Source organism: Homo sapiens, chromosome X, assembly GCF_000001405.40.
Source record: "Homo sapiens chromosome X, GRCh38.p14 Primary Assembly".
NCBI lineage: Eukaryota > Metazoa > Chordata > Mammalia > Primates > Hominidae > Homo > Homo sapiens.
Genome location: NC_000023.11, coordinates 73,076,206 through 73,094,449, shown reverse-complemented (window position 1 = coordinate 73,094,449; position 18,244 = coordinate 73,076,206). Strand labels below are relative to the sequence as shown.

The 18,244-nt window shown below is 41.8% G+C and overlaps 1 protein-coding gene and 1 long non-coding RNA gene across 4 annotated transcripts; one reads left to right on the top strand and one right to left on the bottom strand.

The window, feature by feature from the left end:
* Positions 1–9,814: 9,814 nt before the first annotated feature.
* Positions 9,815–14,114, bottom strand: LOC101928380 (uncharacterized). Of its 3 annotated transcripts, none has more exons than XR_244514.3 (3): positions 13,614–14,114; positions 12,638–12,752; positions 9,815–10,277 (listed from the first exon to the last, which is right to left on the bottom strand). It is a non-coding gene; the product is annotated as an uncharacterized LOC101928380 (long non-coding RNA). The 3 variants fall into 3 exon arrangements; XR_001755883.1 differs by having other exon boundaries at positions 12,638–13,750; positions 13,832–14,114; XR_001755882.1 differs by having other exon boundaries at positions 12,638–14,114.
* Positions 14,115–14,937: 823 nt separating this feature from the next.
* PABPC1L2A (poly(A) binding protein cytoplasmic 1 like 2A) lies at positions 14,938–17,174 on the top strand. Its single transcript, NM_001012977.3, has one exon. The coding sequence runs from the start codon at positions 15,064–15,066 to the stop codon at positions 15,664–15,666; it is 603 nt and encodes a 200-aa protein (NP_001012995.1). The 5' UTR covers positions 14,938–15,063; the 3' UTR covers positions 15,667–17,174.
* The last annotated feature ends 1,070 nt before the right edge of the window (positions 17,175–18,244 follow it).

Below are 18,244 nucleotides of genomic sequence, written 5' to 3'. Positions count from 1 at the left end.
GGGTATATACCCAAAGGACTATAAATCAGGCTGCTATAAAGACACATGCACACGTATGTTTATTGAGGCACTACTCACAATAGGAAAGACTTGGAACCAAGCCAAATGTCCAACAATGATAGACTGGATTAAGAAAATGTGGCACATATACACCATGGAATACTATGCAGCTATAAATAAGGATGAGTTCATGTCCTTTGTAGGGACATGGATGAAGCTGGAAACCATCATTCTCAGCAAACTATCACAAGGACAAAAAACCAAACACTGCATGTTCTCACTCATAGGTGGGAAGTGAACAATGAGAACACATGGACACAGGAAGGGGAACATCACACACCGGGGCCTGTTGTGGGGTGGGGTAAGAGGGGAGGGATAGCATTAGGAGATATACCTAATGCTAAATGAGGAGTTAATGGGTGCAGCACACCAAACTGGCACAGGTATACCTATGTAACAAACCTGCACGTTGTGCACATGTACCCTAAAACTTAAAGTATAATAACAATAAAATTAAATTTTAAAAGAAATCTGACATAGAAAATTAAAAAAAAAAAAAAAACATGCAATGGAGCTCCAATACATCTGGCAGCAGAAATTTCAGCGGAAACCTTACAGGCCAGGAGAGAGTGGCATGACATATTTAATATGCTGAAGAAAAAAAATATTTTAGTGTAGGAAAAAAATTGTTCCCTTTGAAATGCATGTATGTAAAGATTTACTTTCAGAAGTTAAAAAATAAAGTGAAAAACGTAAGATGGCACATTGTTTACAAATATTTAATATTAATATGCGACCTTATGGTAGTTATAGCATTATTTTAATATTAAATGGCAACTGTAGGTAGTATAGTAAAGCCATTTAGGTACACGACAGAATTATAAACTAACTGAAAAGTTAGATAAAGGTAGCCTTTCATAAGATGCGTGAAAAAATATATCGAAACTTCTCTTATATACTATAACCAATATTTTCTTTCACAATCCAGAATTTTTCTCTGAATAATTTTCTTATAAAATATTTATAATAAGCAATGTCTGGAAATGATAAAAACCCTCAACAATGGAGGACTGAAATAAACTTTTATATTTTTAATTGTAACAATTTTAGCTATTGTAGAGTGTACAATTCAGGAGCATTAATTACATTCAGAATGTTGTGCAACCATCACCACTATACATTTCCAAAATTTTTTCACCATCCCAAAGAGAAACTCTTTACTCATTAAACAACACCTCCTTATTTGTCCCTCACTCCAGCCCATGATATCTTTTACTCTACTGCTTTATACGTTTTTATCTTCTAGGCAGCTCATATTAACGGAAGCATAAAATACTTACATCCAACTGATCTTCGACAAAGCCTACAGAAACATAAATTGGGAAAAGGACATCCTGTTCAACAAATGGTGCTGTAAAAACTGGCAAGCCACATGTAGAAGATTAAAACTGGATTCCTATCTCTCACCTTATACACAAATGAACTGAAGATGGAGCAAAGACTTAAATCTAAGACTAGAAACCATAAAAATTATCAAGATAACATCAGGAAAACTCTTCTAGACATTGGCTTAGGCAAAGAATTCGTGGCTGAGACCCAAAATCAAATTCAACGAAAACAAAAATAAATAAATAAGTGGGACCTAATTAAACAGAAAAGCTTCTGCACAGCCAAAGAAATAATCAGCAAACAGACAACCTACGGAGAGGGAGAAAATGTTTACAAACTATGCATCCAACAAAGGACTAATATCCAGAATCTACAAGGTACTCAAATCAGCAAGAAAAAAAAAATCCCTTCAAAAAGTGGCCAAATGACATGAATAGACAATTCTCAAAAGAGGATAGACAATCAGCCAACAAACATGAAAAAATGCTCAACATCACTAATTATCAAGGAAATGCAAATTAAAGCCTCAATAAGATATGGCCTCACTCCTGCAAGAGTGGCCATAATTAAAATGTAAAAAAATAATAGATGTTGGTGTGGATGTGGTGAATAGGGAACACTTTTACACTGTTGGTAGAAATGTAAACTAGTACAACCATTATGGAAAACTGTATGAAGATTCCTTAAAGATCTAACAGTAGAACTACCATTCAATCCAGCCATCCTACTACTGGGTATCTACCCAAAGGAAAAGATGTCATTATGTGAAAAAGACATGCACAAGCATGTTTACAGCCACACAATTGCAAAAATATGGAACCAACCAATGGGCCCATCAAACAATGAGTGTATAAAGAAAATGTGGTATATATATATACCACATTATATATATATATATATGTGTGTGTGTGTGTGTGTGTGTGTGTGTGTGTGTGTATACGTATATATACACCATGGAATAGTACTCAGCCATAAAATGGATGAAATAATGTCCTTTGCAGCAACTTGGATGGAGCTGGAGGCCATTATTTTAAGTGAAGTAACTCAGGAATGGAAAACCAAATATTGTATGTTCTCAATTTCAATTAGGCTCTAAGCTATGAGGATGCAAAGACATACGAATGATATAATGGACTTTGGTGACTCAGCAGGGAATGGTGGAAGAGGGATGAGCAATAGAAGATGGCATATTAGGTACAGTGTACACTGCTTAGGTGACGGGTGCACCAAAATCCCAGAAATCACCACTAAAGAACTTATCCATGTAACCAAAAATCATCTGTACCCTAAAAACTAGTGAAATAAAAATAGAAATAATTTCAAACATAGACAAGTTGCAAGACTAGTACAAAATTGTATGCTCTTCACCCATATTCACCAACTGTTAGTCATTTTCCACATTTGCTTTATCATTTTCTCTCTGTAGGCACACATATATTGCTTTTTTAAAATATAAGTTTCAGATATCATGTCCCATTTACCACTAAATGTTTCAGAGGGTGTGCCAAGAACCATCTCTAAAACACAGTATAGTAATAATAATAAAAAAGAAAAACTGGGAAAAGCAATGAATATAAATTGGTGTTGGCAGGCATATAATGTATAAAAATATAGTTTGTATGACAATAATAGCATAAAGTAGGTAAAAGAAATGAAGCTACATAAGGGAAAATTGTATGCTATTCAAGTTGGTATTATTCTCACTAGATTTTTAAAGTTAATATGTTAATTGTAATCACAGAGTAACCTCTAAAGAACTAACTCCGAATAATGTAGTAAAAGAAATGGCAAGGGATTTAAACTAGTGTACTAAAATACCTACTGAACACATAAGAAGATTGTTATAGAAGGATAAAGGGAGAAAAGATAGATAATCTATAGAAATCAAATTGAAAAGTTTCAGATGCAAACCCTAATTTAAAAGTAGTTATATACAAATGTATTAAACACTTCAACTAAAAGCATCTATTAGCAGATGGATAAAAAATAAATGATCTATATAAATGCTCTCAATAAGAACTACACCTTACAATAAATGAAAAAATGGTTAAAAGTGAAAAAATAGAAAAGATACACCATGCAAGTAGTATCCAAAAGAGACTGGGAGTGGTGGTAATAGTATCAGACAAAACAGACATAAATTTTTTTTACTAGATACCAGGAAAAGGAGGAAGAAAAAAAAAGAATAAAATTTTTTTACTAGAGAGAAAAACATATACAGTTGATCTTTGAACAACACAGGGGTTAGAAGCACTAACTCACCAGGCAGTCAGAAATCCATGTATAGCTTTTTACTCCCCTAAACTTAACTTTTAATAGCCTACTGTTGACCAGAAGCCTTACTGATAACATAAAGTCAATTTACACGTATTTTTATGTTATATGTATTATATACTATATTCTTACAGTAAAGTAAGCTAGAGAAAACAAAATGTTATTAAGAAAGATAAGGAATAGAAAATATATTTACTATTCATTAGATAAAAATGGATCATCATCATAAATGTCTTCATCCTTATCATCTTCACGTTGAGTAGTCTGAGGAGTAGGAAGAACAGGAGGAGTTGGTCTTGTCTCCGATGTGGCAGAAGTGGAAGAAAATCTACATATAAGTATACCAGTGCAGTTCAAACCCATGTTGTTCAAGGGTCAACTGTATTTTATAAAGACAAAAGGCTCAATATATCAAGAAGACATAATAATTCTAAACGCATGTGCACATATCAACAGAGTTGAAAAATACGCAAAGCAAAATCTGAGAGAATTGAAAATAAACAGCTCAGTGAAGAAGTTGGAGACTTCAATAACCACTTTCAATTTCAATAATGTATAGAACAACTAGTCAGAAAATAAAATAAGAAATATGCATAAAAGGCTTGAGCAATGCTGTACACAGGCTAGACCTAACAACACTCCACCCTAAAGCAACAGAATGCTTGTTTATCTTGAGTGCATATAGAATATTCTCCTTGATAGACCACATGCTATATCATGAAAGGAGCCCTAATATATTTAAAATCATTGAAATCATACAAATTGAGATGTTTCTATCATGTCTTCATATTGTTGATTGTATGGTATCTGATAAAAAAAAGTCTGCTGTCATTTTTCATCTTTTTTATTGAGTTCATAATGTAGCTTTTTTTCTGTGTCTGCTTTTGCTTTATTTAGGTAAATTCACATAACATAATTAACCATTTTAAAGTGGACAATTCAGCGGCACTTAGCTCACTTACAATGCTGTGCAACCATATGAATATTAGGATCAGTTTTTTCATTTTTGAAAAAGTCAGTATTTTGATAGAGATTGTATTGAATTTGTAATTTTGGAGTATTACCAAATCTTAACAGTAAGTCTTCCAATCCATAACTATAGGAAGTTTTCTATTCATTTACACTTTTTAAAATTTCTTTCAGCAATGTTTTAGTTTTCAGAGTACAAGACTTCTACATTCTTGGTTAACTTTATTGTTAAGTATTTTATCACTTGATTCTATTGTAAATGAAATTGTTTCTTAATTTTATCTTGATACTGTTTACTACTAGTATATAGAAATACAAATTTATTTTTGTATGTTGGTCTTGTGATTTGCTGAATTTTTTAATTAGCTGTAATATTTTTTCATGGATTTTGTAGAATATTCTATAGGTAGGATACTGTCATCAGCAAAGAGACATAATTTTACTTCTTCTGTTTCAGGTTGGGTGCCTTTTTTTTTCTTGGCCAATTGCTCTGGCTGGAGCGTCCAGTACAATGTTGAATAGAAGTGATGACAGCGAGCATGCTTGTTTCTGATGTTAGGAAACAGCTTCCAGGTTTTCATTATTGAGTATAATGTTAGCTGAGGGTTTTTCATAAATGCCCTTTACCATGATCAGAAATTTTTCTGCTATTCCTACTTAGCTGAGTGGTTTTTTTAATTGTGGGAGAGGGTTAGCTTTTGTCAAGTCAAATGCATTTTCTGCATGTATTGAGATGAGGTTGTGCCATTTTTTCTTCATTCTATTAAAAAGTGTACTACATTGATTGATTTTCATATGTTGAACCATCCTGGCATTCCTTAGATAAATCCCACTTGTTCGTGGTGTATAATTATTTTAATGTATTGTTGCATTTGGATTGCTAGTATTTTGTTGAGAATTTTAAAATCAATAGTAATAAGGTAGTAGTAGTCTACTTTTTTCTCTGGTGGAGTTCTTTAACTAGCTTTGACATTCTATTTTCCTCTTTTTAATTTGGTCTTGAGATCTCCCTTAGGAGGATGGCTAAAAACTCCAGCCCTTCCAGTCAGGGCTTCAAGGTATTTGGTCATGAATGTTTACAGTATATCTTTTACAGGATGCTTCTTTTATCCTGGTGAATGGCCTAATTCCTAAGTGTCTGAACCATGACCAGATGTCCCTCTCACAGAAAACTTGTTTTCACTGGTAGACATCATGTGGCTCTTGTCTGATCTGTGTCATTTATTCCTACCAAGATATATCCTCTCTAGGAGAGCCCAGACCCAGAAAGAAGATAGGTTCAGGCGTCTTGGTCAGGTAAGACAGGGGAGGCAACTCAACAACACACATAAAATAAAAGAAACAGCATATTCATTTATTTAGTTATTCATTGCTTTCTTTCATCATAGTTTTGTAGCTTTCCTAATATAGGTCTTGTATATATTTTGTTATATTTATACCTATGTATTTCATTTTTGAGGACGCTAACGTAAATGGTATTTTGTCCTTTTTAATGCACAAACACCAATTTTATTTTTTGATAATGGCAACGAGCAATACAAGAAGGAAATTAAAACAATTCTATTTATAATAGCATCACAGAAAAAAATACTTACCAATATACTTAACAAAAGAAATGCCAAACCTATACTCTGATAACTACCAAACATTGCTGAAAGACATTAAAGAAGATAAATGGAACAACATTACATGTTAATAGATTGGGAGACTTATAATGTTAAGATGCCACTACTCTCCAAATTGATCTGCAGATTAAAATTCTACTTTTTCATTTCTTGTATATAGGAAAACAACGGACACTTTTCATATTAAACTTGTATATATATTGCTGAAAAGAAGTTTCACTCTGTTGCCCAGGCTGGAGTACAGTGGCATGATCTTGGCTCACTGCAACCTATACCTCCCAGGTCCAAGCGATTCTCCTGCCTCAGCCTCCCAAGCAGCTAGGATTTTACAGGTGCGGGCCACTGCACCCGGCTAATTTTTTGTATTTTTAGTAGAGACGGGGTTTCACCTTGTTGACCAGGCTGGTCTTGAACTCCTGACCTCAGATAATCTGCCCGCCTCGGCCTCCCAAAGTGCTAGGGTTACAGATGTGAGCCACAACGCCCGGCCATTAACCTTCTATTCTAAAACCTTGTTATAATCATTTATTAGTTCCAGGAGGTATTTTTTGTTGACTCTTTTGGATTTTTTAACATAGATCTTGTCATTTGTGAACGAAGACAATTGCATGTATTCCTTCTTAATCTGTATACTTACATTTTTATTGTCCTATAGAATTATCTAAGACTTCCAGTAAAATGTAGAAAGCAATGGTGAGAGGGGACATTCTTACTTTGTTCCTGCTCTTAGAAAGAAAGCTTCAAATTTCCAACCATTGACTATCATGTTAGCTGTATTTCTTTTGAAGATATTATTTACCAAGATGAGGAAGTTATCCTGTATGTCTCGATTATTTGGGGTTTTGCTCATGAATGAGAGTTGGATTTTGTCAAACACTTTTTCTTCATCCGCTGATATAGTCATGTGATTTTTCTTCTTTAGCCTGTTGAAGTGATGGGTTACATTAATTGATTTTATTTTAAAAAGTAAAGTAACTGATGTTACAATTGACTATATAAATACGTAATACACAATATGATATTTTGTTATATGTATAGATTTGGGAAAGTAAATCAAATTAAAACATTCATTATCTCACATACATTTTGTGATGAAAATATTTAAAATCTACTTTCACCAATGTTTAAGTATACAATAAATTGTTACTAAATATAGTTTCTGTGTCATACAAAACATCTCCTGCACTTAGTCCTCCTGTCTACATTAATTAATTTTTTTTAATTTAATTTACATCAGGATTAACCGCCCTCTAGTGGCCCACCTTAAAGTGTGAAGAAATGTGACCCTTGTGGACAACATTATTAGAGATTCATTAAAGGGTAAAAGGCTTGTGTTGCTTTTCAAAGCCCAAATAATTCAACTAAGTTTTCAGAAGTGGATGTCAATGAGCAGCAGTCTGTTTGGAAAAGAGGATATAGAAAGAGGGAGGAGAGGCTAAGGGAAGGGGAGGGGTGCTAACATCCTTATTTTATGGGAAACTGACGAAGGTGTACGCTAGAGACTGAGAGTTAAGCATATCACTTAAAGTCACTGGAGTCACCAATAGAAGAACTAAAGATCAAAAGGTATAAAAATTGCCAGAAGGAAAGACAGGGCAGATTGAAGATAGTGTGAGTGAGTTAAATCCTCCTCTCTGGTAGAGGATGGTCACTTGATGATGTCTGAAGTTGATGAATTATTGAATTAGCAGATTAGGCATTTTCTTTAGATATAAGGAGGTAATGGTCAGAACACTGCAAACAGAAATTGTTAAAGTGGTCTACTCTGGGAAGCACAGTTGGGGAGTAGGAAGTGATGGGACCTTGAATCTTTGTTTTTTATCATAAGCTCCTTTGTACTTTCTGATCATCACTATTATATTTACCATGTGCATACATATATATTTTTAATTAAGAACTATTATTTGGAGACAGTTTTAAAAAGATGATCTGTATGGGAGGAAGTCCCAAGGTTAATCACCTTGACATTAGCAAGATTTTACCACATTGAAGGAGATTTCGTTTTACATCTATTAAACAAAGCGAAAACCTAAAATTGATCAGCAGCTCATGATACTGGAGATCAGCCAACTCACGCTTCAGTAATCCATGCATGCATCACATCACAATGGTGAATATTGGTAATATTGTTCCAGAGACATCATGGAGACATCAAAGTGTGTTCAGTAGCCTGCAGCAAAGAAGCTGAAGGAGTGTATTACCTTACAGTAAATTACCTCTCAAATGGCCCCCAAGATGTTGCTCAAAAGGATGAATAGCAGTTGACAGAAAATTCTCTCCTGTCTCAATACCCCATTTTGTTGAGATAGTGTTATTAAATCTTCTGGGTGGTTTCCTTGAGTACAGAAAATGCCATGCTTTCATGTGTTAATTAATGTGCGGACCCTGAGCCTCCAGAAAATAAATAACTGGATCATTAAAAGGTCCTATGGTTGGGACTAGTACAGAGAAGCTCAATGAGAGTGTGAGCTAAGCGAGTTCAGGCCAGAGAACCCAGAGGATCAGACTCCCTCTGTACTGACACTTTGCTCCTGGTTAGAGAGAAAATTCCAGGCTGCCTGGAGCACCAGAAAGACAAGACACTGGACCTTCAAAAACCAGCTGAACAAGCACAACCCCAGGACAGAGGGCAATAAGATTAATAAGGAGTCTCTTGTATTGGGCATTGAATGCATGCCAGGCACTGTGAAAAACATTTACCATACATTATCACTTGTTATCCTTATAAATATCCCTTTGTACAGATGGGGACTCCAAAGCTAAGATGGAAAAAAGGGGGGTAAAGTACCTTGACCAAAGTAAGCACAACTCTTAAGTCATGGCCTGGGGTGTATCTGTAGGTATATTGTTATAAAATCAGTTTTGTGAACTGCCTAAAATTATAACAAAGAAGGGCATGAGTTAAGGCTTCAAGCGTGTGTTAGAAGGTGAATTGGTTCTCAGAGAGAAAAATATCTGGAATGCTATGCAAAAACCATCAGTCAATACAGCCCTTTGGCTCGGTTTCTAAGCAGAGCTGGGGCAAAACTGCTTGTCACAAATGAAATTTGTAAGATGCTTAATTAGGGTTTCTGAAATTCAAACTCTGAGCACACACTGAGGCTCAAGAATGGTTAAGTGTTTTGCTCTGAAATTCAGCCTACTAGTCAATCTGACTCCAAGGCCCATCTCCTTTTGTTTGCACCAAAATGACAACAAACCTGCTTTTCTCGCCTGGTAATAGCACATTCTGGAAATCCCCTTAAATCAGCTTATATAGAGATAACTCATACTTGTTAATGGTTGCATAATAATCCTCAGAATGGCTGCACTGCCAATGTATCAGTCACTCCTCACCTGATGCATACTTGCTTTGTGCCCTGATTTGCCCAATATGAGTGTTTCTGTGATAAACATACTTGTACATATTTCATCACCTCCCGGGGTTCTTATTTCTCCAGGACTGACTACCATTCCATCCCTGCCCCATATACAAATCTGTCTCCGTCAACTCTTCACTTTATAAGGACCCAAAGGACCATTTGCTAAATTTGTTGTATTGACTCAGGACAACTTAGTAATCATTGTTATCGTTTATTAAACAACAGGGCCACATTCAAACGCTTTCCAATTCTCTCTAAATAACAGCCTAACGCTGACGTTTTTGTTGGCCTGTATCTCATAATTATTTTTATTTAGAGGAATTTGGTAGTGGCGGGGTTGGGGTGGGAGGTGGTGTGTGGACGGTGTGAATTGACAGAAACAATTTCCCTACACCAAAATACAGGTATGTTTTCATTCTCTATGCCCCTAAACACCCTCCCTGCAGCTATGCAACGAGCAATTCACGGGAAGAGGCTTCTTTACATAGACCCCTGTTTTTGGTGTTTTGATTTACTTTTGTGTATAGAGTTGATCTGTCCCTCTTCCCATTGGTGTCCTCCCCCCCCACCCAACCCTAGTCCTCTTCCTTCTTCCTTCTTTTCTTCTCTTCTCCTCTGCTCTCTGAACTGCATCCCCACTCCTTCTGATTTCTCCCTCCTGAAAGGAAAAAGGAGATGGGCCACATGAAATAGCAGAGCAGTGCCTACCCCACTCTTCGAAGTTCTCTGCATCCGAACCTCTCTCTCTTTTGAAAGCTCCACTGAGAAATGATCAGAGAGTGAAGTCCAAAGCCAAGCACACAAAGTCGTTGTTGTCCCATTTTAAACCAACTCCCATGCACGTACAGCTAGGAGCATTGAGAGCAGAGTCTGAGTGAGGATATTGAGGCTGGTGATGAAAAGCCTTGGCGAGAAGTTTGGACATGTTCGGACATGCAAGGCCTTAGAGAGGAGTCCTGTTCACTGTCCAGTCCTTCTGAATCTATTTTGCTGGCTTGTGCTCCCCACCCAACTTCTAAGTGTCAGAGTATCTCAGGGAGTAGCCCTGCACCTTCTTCTCCTGGCTATACTCTCTCTAGGTGATCCTACTCAGTTTTGTGGCTTTAGACCCTAACTGTGTCCTGTTGTCTCAACAATTCTGTTTCTCCAGCCTCTATGGATGACAAGCAGACCTCAGTAACTAAACCTGTGCAAATAGGAGCTCTTGACACACACCCCCATCTGTCTTTCTCCCTTCTCCAAATCTACCATGCCCACCCACTCTCTGTCTTTCCTATGACCGTACATAGACCTCTGAGATTGCCTCGAATCCACTCACAAGCGCTGTCTCTTCCACTTCCAAAATATCATGTGAATCCACACACTAGTCTCCACATTGATGCTTCCAGTCTGGGCCAAGCCCCTGCTGTCTCTGGACTGGACTACTGCAAGAGCCTCCTAACTGGTCTCCCTGCTTTCCTTTGTGCCCTGCCCACTTGTGATATTGCCCACACAGAGCAGCTAGAGAGAAACCACTGAATGGGCATTAGATTATGCTACTACCTGCTTCAATCCTTTCTCTGGCTCTCCTGAGCTCTCTGAAGAAGAACCAGACTCTTCATCATGGCACCACCCACCACTGCGCCTTCCTCCCTTTCCTTCCTCTATCCCCTCTCACACTGGGCTCCATGCAACATTGGCATCCTTTCTGCCCCCACCCCCACCCCCAGCACCCTCTCTTTTCTGCCACAGGGCCAGGGGAATTGCCCTTCCCTCTGCTGGGCAGGTTTCCCCCCTGGTTCCTTGAAAGACTGGTGGCTTATCATTGTCCTCAGAAAGGCCTTCCCTGAGCTTCATGTCTCCCGTTTTGCCACTTTTCTGGGGTTCTAGGCAATATGTACCAAATCATCTTGTTTATGTCCCCGAGAGCATTCATAGCAACCTTTAACTGTTTTCATATTCCCTGATCTGTCTATTGTCTGTCTCCCCACTAGAAAATAAGCTCCCTGAGTTCAGGGACGGTCTGGCCGGCAGAATACTTGGTACATAGAAGACCCTCCAGGAATATTCATTGAATCACTGAATAAATAAAATCAACAGCACTTCCTCCCACGGGAAAGGAAACTTCCCCTCCCTCCATTGAGGCTCCACAGGGCTCTTTATTTTTGCCCCTGTCACAGTGTGTAGTGGTCAGAACACATTCCATTTGCAGGTGGCAGAAACTGACCACAACGTAACTTTAAAAATAAAGAATAAAAAGGAGATGGAAACTCGACTCCATGGAAGCCCCTGAGAAAGGACTTGGGGAGCAGTCCCTGCTGTGTCCTTGTCACTTTGGTAGCCCTGCTCCTGTTGCTAGAGGTTCAGGATCCTAGGAATTGTTTTCAGGTTTGGGGATTTGCTAGCCATAGCATGACTTCCCTGAACTTCCTTCTCCTGCTGTTTCACTGATTTCTGTTGGCCCTGTGTACTGGAAGGCAACGCCAGAGACAGAGATCTTGCTGAGTCCTGGTCCTCGACTTGGTCTTCCTTGTCATTTCTGTTTCCTAACAATGGGCCGAGGAGCTCTTCTCATCCTCGCCACATCCCCTACCCCTCTGCGAGCATGGCTTCCCCCTTGGCCTCTGCCTTCTCAGGTCCCTCTTGGACACCAACCTGGAAATGGTGAGGCACAGCTTCATCTTCTCCCTGCCTGCAAGCAACCTAGACCCCCAGGAGATGGCTCTTAACAGCGGTGACAGTGATCACCTTGGTCAGGCATGCGCTGTACAGCAGGCTTTTCCTAGGTCTCTGTCCCTTGCCTTTGCCGGCACTAGCCCTGCCTAGAGGCAGAGAGCTGGACTTTGCAAGCTGGAGAGGTACATGTCTGTGTATCTGCTTCTCAGCCACCTTGGGATGCTTTCCAGCCAGCGACGAAGAGTTCTCACTGCCTCGCACCCCACAGTGACTCAGTCACTTCCTCAGGTTCACGGTTGTTCTATCATGTATGACTGCCAAGATCCAGCCATCACTGCAACCACAGAAAACAGCTTTACTTACCCAAAGAAGGCAGAGGAGGAGAGGATGAGAGAATACGTGCTGGGCAGGTGAAATTCTATGGCCACCGTCGTCCAATCACATAGCACTTACAGTCCTCTGCTGACACTTCTGTTCTCTGTGGGGGCAGACTGAGCTTTAGCAGAGTGAAGGCATCCTGAGGGAAGGCACTATGGTTTTCTCTTTTTAAACATCTGGCCCCACTGGCTCACGGTAAACGTGAGACCCCTATTTATGGAATGAAAAGGAATAGAGGGAAGGATTGTTCAGACTCTTTTTGAATTGGTCACATCTGACTTTCTTCCTTGTGTTCTGTCAGCCCTGTCTTGGTTTTGTACATGCGTGTACATGTAAATGTGCACTTATACATGCACATTGATGTTTAATTTGTACTCATTCTAAAGTTCTCATCATACTGCTTCCCTCCTTGAACATGCTGAGTGGTCCCCGTGACCTTGGGTATACAGTCGAAGCACCTTAGCTTGATTCTCAGGGCCCCACACCTTCCAGCCCTGTCTGCTACCATGTGCTCTTGGAGACCATGAGCTCTGTCCCTGCCAGATTATTAGGCATGGCCAGAAGCGACCAAGCATGTGCTCTCATGACAAAGGGCCTTGGGCACAGACTGATCCCTCTGCCTGGAGTGCCTTCCTTCCTGCCTTGACATGGTGGACTGCTCCTCATGTTTCAGAGCCCACCTCGGTGGTTCTGTCTTTGGTGCAGCCTCACCTAATTGCTACTAAGAAGAGTTAGTGGCTGGTCCTCCTCTCTGGAGGAAGTGGGACTGTAGCTTCTGTTACACTCAACTCTCATGGTTGCTCCCTTGTCTATACCCCCAGCATTTGGCTCTGTGTGGCCTCTCTGCTCTCACTACACACACACTGCTCACCTCTTCTCACCCTGCTCCACACCTCCAACACATCAACAGTCCCTGCTCACTTACCACATTGCGGGCCCCTTAGCCCCCAGCACCAAGTACCTGATAAGCTTTCCATAAATATTAGATGGTGAACTGGGACCAGGCACTTCATTCTAGAGAGAGAGCTCAGGTTTTGTTTTGGTTTATCCTTTGAACCTGAATATGTACTTCTTGGTCCAGGTTGGGAACCTCAGCGCCTTGAGAGCAGAGTCAAGAATAAACAAGCGCCTGGCTCTGGACCAGGCCCTGTTCCCAGTCCTGGGTTTGGCTTTCCTCACCTTATCATTGAGGACAGTACTAGAGACAGGGTGCTCTTGATTCCCCCACTTCCAGACTGCATGTACTGAGGCCTTGAGTGTATTCTCAAGGCCACCCCACCCTCTCCTGCAAGGTACTTGATTTAACCATTTAAACGTTCCATTATGTGGAGAGGGGATAAAAATAACGCTCCCTTCTGAATCGAACCCTTATCCCTTCGGTCTACAGCGGAGCCCTTTCCCTGGCGTCCTTTTCATAAATATCCAGGCGACCCGAGAGACTGAGCACTCCCACTCCCGCTCCCGCTCCCGCCCCTGCTCCCGCTCCTGCTCCCACCCCCGTCATCTCCCACCGCCCGCAGCCCGGCAGCCCCGCAGCCCCGCAGCCCCGCAGCCCCGCAGCCCCGCAGCCCCGCAGCCCCGCAGCCCCGCAGCCCCGCAGCCCCGCAGCAGCCACAGGGGGAACCAAAGAGACAGAAGCCTTCCCAGCTGCCCGGACGACAGACGCCAACACCCCCCGCCCCCCACCACACGCCGCCTGCCCGCCCGCACCCCGCACCCTGCGCGCTAGCCCACGACCGAGCGGCGGCGGCAACAGCAGCTGGCTGCAGGCTGCGGCGACTCGCACCGGCGCGCTCCTGGCAGCACTTGCCATCCCAGGTGACTTGAACTCGCCAGTTCGGATCCCCTGCGCCAGCTCCCGCTCGCGCATCGGGTCTGTGTTCCCGCACCCACCCGCCCTCCTGCCCTCCCGCCCTCCCCCGCCTCTCCGTCCCCCAGCTCGCGGGAAGGGAGGTCGCGGCAGCGGCCCGGCGGCAGCGGCGACCGTGGCGACAGCAGCGACAGTGGCGGCGGCGGTGGCGGCAGCGGCTGCGGCGGCGGCGGAGGCTGCGGCGGCGACCGTGGCAGAGGCGGTGGCGGAGGCCTCCGTGGCGGAGGCGGAAGCAGAGGTAGAGGCTGAGGTGGAGGCCGAGGCCTCAATAGAGGAGGCAGCATCGGAGGCCACCCCGGGGGAGGCGGAGGCCGCCCGGGTGGCAACGGTGGTGGCGGTGGCGGAGGGCAGCGCGGCCGAAGCCGCCGCCGCAGCGGAGGCTGCGGGGCCCCCCTTGGGGGAGGCGGAGGCGGATGCGGATGCGGATGCGGATGCGAAGGTGGCGGCCGAGGTGGCGGCCGAGGTGGCGGCTGCGGCGGCCGCCGCGGATGCAGATGCGGATGAGACCCTCGGTGACTGTGAGGGGAACCCAGATTTTCAGATGGCCTCCCTGTACGTGGGCGACCTGCACCCTGAGGTGACCGAGGCAATGCTGTACGAGAAGTTCAGTCCAGCTGGGCCCATCCTCTCCATCCGCATCTGCAGGGACAAGATCACCCGCCGCTCATTGGGCTACGCGTATGTCAACTACCAGCAACCGGTGGACGCCAAGCGGGCCCTGGAGACCCTGAACTTTGATGTCATAAAGGGCAGGCCAGTGCGCATCATGTGGTCCCAGAGGGACCCGTCGCTCCGCAAGAGCGGGGTGGGCAACGTCTTCATCAAGAACCTGGGCAAGACCATCGACAACAAGGCGCTGTACAACATCTTCTCGGCGTTCGGCAACATCCTCTCCTGCAAAGTGGCCTGTGACGAAAAGGGGCCCAAGGGCTACGGGTTCGTGCACTTCCAAAAGCAGGAATCTGCGGAGCGGGCCATCGATGTGATGAATGGCATGTTCCTGAACTACCGCAAAATTTTCGTCGGGAGATTCAAGTCGCATAAAGAACGAGAGGCCGAAAGGGGAGCCTGGGCCAGGCAGTCCACTAGTGCTGACGTCAAGGATTTCGAGGAAGACACCGACGAGGAGGCCACCTTGCGATGAAGACATCCCAGGAGCTAGCCAGCCAGCAGAGCCAAACCTTGGCTCACACCCGGTTTACAACCCCCCACCCCCAGCCCTCCCCCGCCAACCCACCAGCAGTGTATTTATTGTATTGAGAGTGCAGGTCTCTCTCTCTCTCTCTCTCCCCTTCTCTCTCCCCGCTTCCTATTTTCTCCCTCCACCTCTCCTCTCCTTCCCTTCCTCTCCCCCGCCCACCCCCACCAAGGGCGTTGTGAATAATCTTACTAATCTGTGCCATTTGTAGGTTAAAGGCTGCCTCTTCTCCCTGTGGTTTGATTTAAAAAGCATTTTCATTCTCTCTTTGTTTACTGCACAGGTGGTACAATTTCATGGTAGAATCATCAGAAAGGAGAAGGATATCAGATGAGGGAAGAAACAAGAGAGTAATTGCTCCCCTGGTCCTACTCCCCAGAGAGAACCACTTTTACCTTTTTGGTGTGCTGCTTTTCCAGGCTCTCTTCTCTCCCTCTCTCTCCTTTGCTCACCCCCACCCCGCCTTCCCTTTTAACACACCGTTATAGAATGGTTCATGTATGTGGTGTTTCTTAACCTGCTTTTTCAGCAACTAAAACCAAACAAAAATCAACCCATTGAACTTCTTTCCATGTTATCAACAGGCTTATGAAACGTCATCTTCAGTGCCTGCAGAGTGCTCCAGTGTATCCGTGGACCTTAACATTTCTGTAATCATTCCCGCATTGTTGGACATTCAGGTGGTGCCTAGTTCTTTCCCTGTGTTTAAGACCAACATTGCGTGCTCTGTGCTTTGATGAGTGAATCCTTCCTTGTCAAGCCAAATCTTTGCTAGCATCCCGGTGGTCTCCTTAACTGCGGACTTGCAAGATCCACATATAGACATTTTAAAGACTTTTCCTGTGTGTTGCCAAAAGGCCCCCTTCATAAGCATTGTACCGATTTGCACTCGTGCCGGCCAGCGCAGCTAGTAAAGAGTATGCCCGTTTCCCCTGCATAGTCTCCTGGTCACTGTAATTGATCGTGTGTGTGCGTGCGTGTGTGTGTGTGTGTGTGTGTGTGTGTGTCTTGGCCAGCTTGGCGGGCTACAAAGGGTGTTTCGCTGTCCTCGGTAGTTTTGCTGGAAACAAACACTGCTTATGACCCCATTCCCCTGTGCCCTCTTCCTGTCCTTTTCCCTGTTGTCAGAAAAGTAATTCAGCGTCATTGCAAGAAAAAAAAATCACAAAGCAGACAAGTTACCAGAAGAAAATTAAAGTCACCAGTAATCATTTCTGATGATTACACACACATTCCAGAAACATTTTCATGCACACCTCTCTGATATTTTCTAGAACTACCTGAAACATTTTTGTCTGTAGGTCTAGTTTTTTTCTTATGCATATATCATATATGTATATTATGATGTACAGACTGTTTTTATATCTGCTTTTCACACATACATGTGTGTGTATATTTATACACACACATATTCTTGAACTTCATTTCATGTCATTAAAGATACTTTTAAAATATTTTCTCTGGCTCTTAATATTCTATTGAATTCACGACTAGGTAGAAGGTTAGATATATGTGTGTACATATGTATCTATGTCTATATCTCTGTGTGTTCGTGTGTCTTATGCATGTTTTATTTTAACTCTTTCCTCATTGAACATCTAGATTGTTTCTGCTTTTCCTTTATGTAATCTAAAGCTGCCATGAAGTTCCTAGTGCACAAAACATGCTGACTTTCAAGATTATTTCCTGATGAGTCATTGCTAAAAGTAGAATTCATGTGTCAAAGTACATGGCAGTTTGAATGTTTTTTTGGAGGGGAGGAAGAATGTGTTATTCAATGGCCACCTGTAAATATAGTACAAGTTCATCTTCATAAGTTGCATCAGTGTTGTTACAGGACCCAGATACCTGGACGATTTTCTGCACTTGCTATTACATTTGTTTCTACAATTCACCAGTATTTTCTCAGGGACACAGGAGCTTTTTTGTTTTTATTTATGTTATACATTTATTTTTATACAAATTGTACAAAATTATAATAGAAAATATTTTTTAAAAATTGCTAATGTAAGAAAAGAAAGTTGAAATCCTAATACCCCTCCTAATACTACTACTTGACAAAATAAATTTTCAATAATAGGTATCTACCTACCTTTGTATTTATAACACAATATGCATTGTTTCATTGGAGGGTATTTCACTATTACAATTATCTGGGGTCATCTCTGTAAATCATTAAATATTGTCCTGCAATTCTGTTGTTACATATATTCTGTCATCAGGATAAGCTATGATTTCTGCAACCAAGCATCCTTTGGGGCTATGTTTAAAAAGATTCTGATTTTTTTCCCTCATAAGATCAATTCTATGATGAACAACTTTTTACCTGAATGCGTAGGTATATTTTATTGTTTTTTATTCCTTACTAGTGGAATTACAGAGTAATAGACACGAACGTGTTAAATATTTTTCTTGGTCTTTATATCCACTAGTTTATATCCACTACAGTGGTGGATATAAACATGTAGAAAAGTGCTTGTATCATGTCCCACCTTCTTAAATTGATCAAAGTATTTTTAAAGTT